Source organism: Homo sapiens, chromosome 13 (assembly GCF_000001405.40).
Source record: "Homo sapiens chromosome 13, GRCh38.p14 Primary Assembly".
Classification (NCBI taxonomy): Eukaryota; Metazoa; Chordata; class Mammalia; order Primates; family Hominidae; genus Homo; species Homo sapiens.
The window spans coordinates 102,936,554-102,945,577 of NC_000013.11; positions in this window are offsets into that span (position 1 = coordinate 102,936,554).

Below are 9,024 nucleotides of genomic sequence, written 5' to 3' on the forward strand. Positions count from 1 at the left end.
AAGATTCATTACATTTCTGCTTTGGGAATAGAACCACATCAGATATTATCAGGATCACGGAGAACAGGTTTGGGTCCTAGTAGGAACAAATTAGTGCCCCTCAGTGAGGGTGGTACTGTGCTGAAAGACGGCAGTATAGTTGGGCCTAACTAGTCTCTACTAGTTTTGGGCCAATCACCCTCCCCACCCTAATCATTAGCCTTGTGTGTTTTGAAGAATTAGAAGTTAGAAGAACTACCATTTAGGAGAAGAGAAAAGAACAAATAAAAACTGGAGGAAAAATTCAAGGGCTTTATAATTCATATTAGTAGACAAGTTTTACAAAAACAAAGAAATGACTTTCTTGTTATAAAATATATAGTGCTTCACAAACAACGTTGGAAAACAATCTGTGACTGTAGTCTTTAACATTCATTTGGTATTTAGGGGTCCGGGGTCTAATTTTAAACTTATTTTTTAACATTAATTTGTATAAACATGTTTGAAATTCTATTTGATTTATTTGAGTAAGCTTACTTTTATGTGCGTGTGTGTGTGTATGTGTGTTTGTGTGTGTTTAGAGATGGGGCCTCACTCTGTTGCCCAGGCTAGAGTGCAGTGGCATAATCAGGGTTCACTGTAGCCTTGACCTCTTGGGCTCAAGTGATCCTTCTGCCTCAGCCTCCCGAGTAGCTGGGACCACAGGCACACACCACCATGCCCAGCTAACTTTTAAAGTTTTTTTTTTGTAGAGACAAGGTCTTGCTATGTTGCCTGGGGCTGGACTTGAATTCCTGGGCTTAAGTGATCCTCTTGCCTCGGCCTCCCGAAGTGCTGGGATTACAGGTGTGAGTGACCACACCTGGCCTACTTATGTTATAATTCACTGATTTCATTAATTTAATTCATAAGTGATTCATTTTTTATTTTTTGGATCTGTGTTCCTGATGGTACATCCATCTGCTTTGGGGCAGCATTTTGCAGACTCTGAGAGCTGTGAGTTTCTTTAACATGCCAGTCTGCCTAGTGGGACAGCAGCCTATGGGCTTGAGGGCTAGGCAGGGGGCACTCTAGCGTCCTTGTTGGAATCTTGGACTCTTTCATTAGTCAGAAAGGCAGCAATGGGAGACTGTAGTTATTAGGACAAGCAGACCGTCTTTCTTGCCCTCTTGATAGCCGCAGCTGCTTCATCCTGAGTTAGGAGGCTATCACTGTGGCACAAGGAAATGTATTTTACATAAAAAGAGAGAGACAACTACCAGTCAGGCCTTCTGTGTGACTAAGGCTCAAAGCGCCAATTCTTTTTAAATTCTGCTGACTCCTGCTGCAGGCCGTCCTGGCTGATCCTCAGCCGAGCCGACAGGGACATTCATCTGAGAAAGAAGATTCTAATGGGGGTGGGAAGCAGTGGTGCATGGCAGGGGTAGTGGGTCCCCAGGAGTTGTGGTCTAGAAGGGTCATGGTGAGTTGTAGAACAGAAGCACTCAGCATAGGTTAATTCAGTACCCACCATGAGAGACACACTGCTGTAGGCATGGCGGATGTTTGTGAATGGCATGTGGTCTTCACACATTAGAGACGCTTCCCGCGGAAATCTGCATATCCACATGTTGGCGGTCCTACAGAGGGACGATTTCTGCCTGAGGGAGTCAGAGAAGGTGTCTGGTGTAGGTAACTTCTGAGATGAGGTTCGTGGGGTGAGGGGCTCGCCAAGAGAGGAAACACAGGGATGGGAGGGGGTGACAAGAGCATTCCTGTTGTAGGTTCACCCCACGGCATGAATCGTGAGACTCCAAGGTAGGTTTTGTGGGGTGCAGTGGTGACCTGCTGTGGCTGCAGCATAAGGGAGGGGTAGGGAAGGAAAGTGGAAATGTGGATTGGGGTGAGAGTGGGAAGAATCTTCTATCAGTGCAAGAATCTTCTATCAGTGCAAGTAAGTACATATTCTATGTAGACGGAGTGGGAACTTTTACTCAGTGGGATGACATGGTCACATACCTGTTTGGAGAAGCTAGCTCTGTTGGCTTCAGAGTATGGATTGAAACTGGGGAGAGACTGGGGGAGGGGAATGACATAGGCATGTGTATGGCTGATGCAGAGGACCTGAGCTAAGACAGTAATATGCAATCGAGATGCTGGATTTGAAATAAAATTCAGAGACAGAAGCAACTGGGCTTAGAAAACGCAGCAAAAAAAGGGGCTGACCCTGAGATCTTGAACTTAGGGATCTAGGAGATGGTTTTGCCATGAACAAAGGGAATGCAGGCAGGGGGCAGGTTGGATTAGTAGGGAGAGATGATTCTAAATGGTGGAGCCCATACTCCAACTCAACGCAAATACAGAAACACCTCTATTTCCAGCATCTGAGCCTCTCCCAGGATGATCACCGTTACTGACAGAGCCTCAGAAGGCTTTTTTCCCTCAATAGAAGCATATCTTTTGGAACAATTTTAGATTTACAGAAACTTGTGAAGATAGTATAGCAATTTTCTATATACTATGCATCTAATTTCTATTATTAACATCTTAGATCAGTATGGTAAATTTGTTACAATTAATGAAACAATCTTGATTTATTATTTTAACTAAAGTCTGCAGTTTATTAAGATGTCCTTAGTTTTTACCTAATGTCCTTTTTTTCTGTGCCAGGATCTCATCTAGGATACCACAGTACATTTAGTTATCATGTTTTCTTAGGATCCTCCTGGTTGTGACGCTTTCTCTAAGTTTCCTTTTTTTTTTTTTCCTTTTAGAGACAGGGTCTCTCTGTTGTCCATGCTGGAGTGCAGTGGCATGATGTTGGCTCACTGCAGACTTAACCATCTGGGCTCAAGCGATCCTCCCACCACCTCAGCCTCTCAAGTAGCTGGGATTTCAGGTACACGCCACCATGCCCAGATAATTTTTGTATTTTTGGTAGAGATAGGGTCTCACTTTGTTGCCCAGGCTGTTCTTGAATTTCAGGGCTCAAGTGATCCTCCTGCCTTGGCCTCTCAAAGTGCTGAGATTACAGGTGTGAGCCATTGTGCCTGGCCCAAGTTTCTCTGTTCTTGACAACCTTGATAGTTTTGAGAATGCCAGGTCAAATACCATCCCTCACTTAGGCTTTTCTTATGATTAGACTGGGCTTATAGGTTTTTGGGACAAAGATCACATAGGTAAAGTACAAGTCTCATCACATTATATCAAGGGAGCACACTGCAAATGTGACATAACTAGTTGTTTTTTTTTTTTTTTTTTTTGAGATTTTATCTTGCTATGCTGCCCAGACTGGAGTGCAGTGGCTATTCACAGGCATGATCATAGTGCCTTGCAGCCTCAAACTCATGGCATCAAGCAATCCTCCTGTCCCAGCCTCTTACGTAGCTGGGAATATAGGTGCAGGCTGCCATGCCTGGCAATGATTTATAAGTGATGTTGACCTTGATTACCTGGCTGAGGTAGCGTTTGTCAGGTTTCTCCACTGAAAAGCTACTTTAAAAAAATCCCTTTTTCATAATGCACTCTTTGGAAAGAAGTCACTATGGGTGGCTCAGAGTTAAGGAGTAGGGATTGACACTCCACTTCCTTGAGGGTAACATATTTACATAAATCACTTGGAATTTTTCACGCGAGATTTGTTTCTTTTCCCTCGTTCATTAATTTACTCAATCACTTATTTATATCAGTATGGACCCATGGACATTTAATTTATACTTTGGGTTATGATACAGTACTACTTTATCCTGTTGCTAAATTGCTTCTGCCCTGGCCATTGGGAGCTCTTTCAGTTGGCTCCTGTGCCAGCAGGGGGCAGTTGTAAACATACACTAGGTTGTGGCACCACGGTCTGTGTCAGAGGGAGGGCTGGGAGCCGTCAGAAGAGCCCTTGAGGTTTGCCTGCAGGAGGCATGGGGAATGGATAGCAGAGGTTGGTGGACCCAGAGTTCTGTTTAGCAACTCAAAGGTTCTGCGGATTCTTAAGCAGGAGGATGACATTATGAATAGTGTCTTGGATGATTACTTTGGAAGCTCCATGCATTGCGTAGTTTCACTCATTCATTCATTTAACAAACTTTTAAAAATCCTGTTCTATCACCTGCTGGGGAATGAGGGTGGAACATGATGGGGAAAGAGAACTAACACTTACTGAGAGCCTACCTGCCACATGGCATTTTATACACTCAATTCCAGGTAATTCTCATAGCAACCCAGTGAGTTAGACATTGCTTTCAACATTTTATGGCTAAGAAAACTGAGCTTATTCTAAGAATAGCCAGCTGACATGTACAAAATCTAACTACCCTGCAACTGCTGTCCTGTGAGGTAGCAAAAGCCAACCATATGAGACATCTGACCAATCCCCAGTGTCTTACCCCAGCACCAGAAATGTAAATAAAGAAACCTTCTGATGATTCCAGTCCCTGCCAGCAAACAACTGCAATTGCACAAGAGACCCTGAGCAAGAACCACCCAGCTGAGCCCAGTCAACACTCAGAACTATGAATGATAATAAATTGTTTTATTCCACAGAGTTTTGGAGTAGTTTGCAGCAATATAAAACGGATAAGTGGCAAACACAGGTGGTGTTTTTTTCCTCTGCACTATCTTCCCTCTGGTAGTGTCTGCTGTTCTGACAAGGATTCTAGATTGAAGCAAAGAACATGGGAAGCCATTACATTTATCTATTGAGGATGCCATTTGGGTCTGGCTTGAGCTGGGTTCTTGTGGATGAGAAGAGGCAGAACTAGGTGGCATCTTAAGAGAACTTGCATTAGGGCAAGATAGCATTTACATTAGTGCATTGTAGAGGGAAAAGATAGTGAGTTTGTTATCAGATAGTATTGAATTAGCAGTTGCTTTCTCACTTCCTGGTAGTCTAACCTTGGATATCTTCTTTAACTCTGATTCTCAGTTTCCTTGTCTTTACAGTTGGGATGATCTGAGGATAACAACAGATCCAATGAGGCAAAAGTAGTAAGTACTCAATAATTGTGTTCCCACAGTTTTCTAAACATATCTCTATTATAGCACCCATTGCATTGCATTTGAATTGTTTATTTTCCAGTTTGTCTCCAAAATACTCAAGTCAAGTAGACTCTGAGCTTCCTTAGGAAAGCTTATATTACATATTTTGTATTCTTGCTGATTAGCACAGTATACAGAACAGATATAAATAGCTGCTGAATGAAAGAAGGAATTGATGAATCAGTGAGTAAAGATGAATTGTGGAATGAAAGAAGGATAAAAAAATAACTTGAAGGTAACTAGCCTATTTGGTTTGGGGTTTGAAGGTAGCATTTGTTAAAAGGGGGAAAACCAAGGTGGAAAGAATTCTAAGAACAGTAGAAAGTGATTGGTAGTAATAGATGTAATACTAGGCTGAGAAACAGATCTGGCCAAGAAAAAAGTTTCAATGGAGTGTTCAGAAGCCCCAGGTGAAGGTGTTAAGGAAGAAATGGGTGCTGAAGGAATGGAAGCAGCATTGGAGTCCTCAGGGTTGGCTGGAGATGCCTGTATCCACACATATAGAGTATATGCTTTCTCCCCTGAGGAGTTTATTTAGCAGAAGGTGGACATATTAGATTGCATGATACTTAAAGAACACATTTCCTATTCATCTAATCATCAAATATTTATGAATCATCCAATGTATTCTAGCAACTGTGCCCAGCATGGGAACATTGTGCTGATCCAAGTATGTATAATGTTTCCCCCTTATCAAGCATATGTTCAAAAGAGAAGAGAGTCATTGAACAAATTATCAACCAAATAAATAGGTAACTATTAATTGAGTTACAACTTGTGAAGAGAAAATATAGAGACTGTTCGCTTTTCATCAATTCCATTCTGTCCATCTTTAGTCAGAGAACGCCTGAGTTTCAGCCAGGAACATGACCAAGCATCTAGCATCTTTTGCAACTTGCCCAAGTGACTAAGTTCTGGCCAATGGTAAATAAACAGAATTATTATTATTAATTTTATTATCACTTCCTGAGTGTGCCTCAAAAAGGAATCATGTATATTCTCTTGGTCCTTCCCTGCTTCCTGCTGGCTGGAAGATAATAACTGAAACTGCAGCCTTCTACTGCAAGATAGAAACCATGAGTTGTAGACTGTAGAACTTCCCATATAGTCTTGGACTATGGATTATAATGAGGCAGAAGAATGAATTTTCATCTTATTTAAATCATTGTATCTTTTGATCTATTTATTATTGCTGTTTAGCCTATATCTTAACTAGGAAAACTACTAAAGAGGGTGTATTAGTTTGCTCAGGTTGCTGTAACAAAATACCATAGATTGGATAGTTTAAACAGAGAAATTTATTGTCTTGCAATGCTGGAGGCTGCAAGTCTGGGATCAGGATGCCAACATGGTTGGGTTCTGGTATGGGCTCTCTTTTTGGCTTATAGACAGGCACTGTCTTGCTGTGTCCTTACATCATGACTGGGATACAGAGAGAGAGAGAGAGGGAGAGAGAGAGAGAGAGAGAGCACAAGAACAAGACAGCACTCTGGCCTCTTCTTATAAGGGCACTGATTCCATCATAAGGGCCCCACCCTCATGACCTCATCTAACCCTAATCATCTCCCAAAGCCCCCATCTCCAAACATCATCACACTGGGGGCTAAGCCTTCAATATATGAATGTTTGGGGGACACAACTCAGTTCATAGTAGAGGGCAAGGGGAGGACCCAGTTTAAATGGGAGTAAAGGGACAGGAATCTCCCATGAGGAAGTATCTTTGAAGCTGAATGAAGAAGAGTGCTCCAGATAGAAGGAATAGTGTGTATAAAACCCTTGAAGGGGGAAGGAACTTGATATTTTCAAAGAAGTATGAGGGAAAGCAGGTGAGAAAAGACCGGGGTAATCCCAAATGAAACAGGAAGTCTCTGATGGGTTTTAAGTAATGGGGTACCATAAACTGATTTGCATTTCCAAAAGCTTCCTCTCTACTGGGGGGATTGGAAGGAAAAGGAATGGATGAGGGGGTATCACTCAGCCTCACGGGGGGATAATGGCAACTAGCCCTAGAGCTGTTGTTGGAGCTGGAAAGAAGTGATGAATTTGAATGATATTTTGAAAGTAGAACTAACAGGTCTTTTTAATGGATGGGATATGTGTCAGGGAGAAGCAAGGTGCTTTCAGGGTGATCCCCAAGTTTTGAGAGGGAGGAGACTAGAGGGTAGAAAAAATTGGCAGATTAAGACCACGTGTCCAATGTCTTTTGAAGATGTTATATAGAAAAAGAGCCCCAAATCCAGCATTCAGTACCCACCACTGTCGATTATTAGCCATGACCTTGGGGATGTTACAGCTTTACCAACAAAGAAAACAAGGTTTTGAGATTAAGAAACATAAAGTCAGCATTTTGAACTTAAAATTCACAGAAGTAATATGTCATAGTAGAAAGCATGGGCTGTGAAGACAGGTGTCCAGTTATATTACTTCCTTATTGGGTGACCTTGAGGAAGTCACTTAAATTACTAGAACCTCAGTTTTCTCATGTGAAAAAAAATTAGTGGGCTTGTCCTGTGGATTAAAAATGATAATTTCTGTAAAACAGTAGCAGGCTGTCTGGCATGGTAAGTGCCAAGTAGATATATGCTTAATTGCTCCAAGTAACTTACATTTAGTGTTCAATATGTGTAGAAATCAGATAATTTAATTGTATATTTATATTCCAAAACTCAGAAAGGGGAAGACTGAGAGACAAATACAGGCTGAATTGCCTGAACTGCAGCAGTCATTACACAGCCCTCTTTCTTCCCGGGTCTGAATATTGAAACTGGGAAGTGAGTCCCTGAGGGGTATTGGAGTTAGACCCTGTAACTCACTGGTCAACATGTTCTGTTTTACAATTTTCCAGAAGGTAGCAGTGATCTTCTGGAAAAGTTGTCAAGCACCAATAGTAAGCTCTGAATGCAACTTCAACAGTTGTCATTATTTTTTAGATTTTTCATTTATAGAAAGTCCATGCAGCTTCCTGGAATTTGGGGGTATTTGCTCAATGTACTGTGGGGAAGTGGTCTGAGCCTACAGCAAGAACACCACTTTCATAGTTAATAACTAAATAGTCAACAAGCGCACCCACTCAAAGGGCAAATCTGGCCAAGGTATTAGGATTTGTACTAAGAAAAATGCCTAAGGTATTTCATGGATATTTGATGAAAGTACTTGGTCATCACCATGATTTTAAATTCCAGTGACCTGGAAATTCTGAAGGATGATTTCAAAAAAGTTTTTACTCTTTTTCATCTCAGTGTGTGGTGGATGGTGCAGAATGCATTCCTTCTGTAGAGTTACCCACAGGTGATAGCCTTCTTCTCAGTGTGGCAGAGGGGACATGGTGGGAACCCCTGAGGTAGCTGGACATTTATCTGGACCTTGGTGAGAGAGCCTGGCCCCTTGGTACTTTGAAAAAATGTGCAGTTTGGATGGGAACCTTTGGAAGTCAACACTGGAGAAGTGGTGGGACTTTGCCTCCGTGGGGTGTAACTTGATCCTATTGGGAAACAAGGATTTGCCTTTTACAGAGTTTTGCCTCTATCAGATGATAATAATGAGATTCTTCAGCTTCTCCTTAGGCATTATTCTTGCACCTGTTGCTTGTGGGGCTTGAGTTTTTAATATGCTAGATGCCACTTTATGTCTCATTCCTAGTGCTGGGTTTTAGCAACACAGAAAGCAGAAAGCCTGACGTTCTACAGCCATATGCTTGCATCGTTACTTAAAGAGAAAGATAGAAAGAGCAGAAAACTCTTGATATTTGTTATTTTAATTTTTCAAACAAGAGGAGCAGAGCGAATTTCCACAAGTGAGAACAAAACTAAATCGTGCTGAAGAGAAAATCTATTCTTCTATCCTTTGGACTTATTTTTTTGTACAAGTAGATCATACGTAGGTTAAAATAATCACAAAACTTGGAATTTATCCAGTTGTATAGTGGGTAATTACAGAGTTGCTTTGTTTAATGATGTGGTATTTTATAGAAGGGCATTTTTAACCTTTGTCACTAGTGCCAAATGGAAGGGGACACAGCCCTTCATAAAAGGTATCATA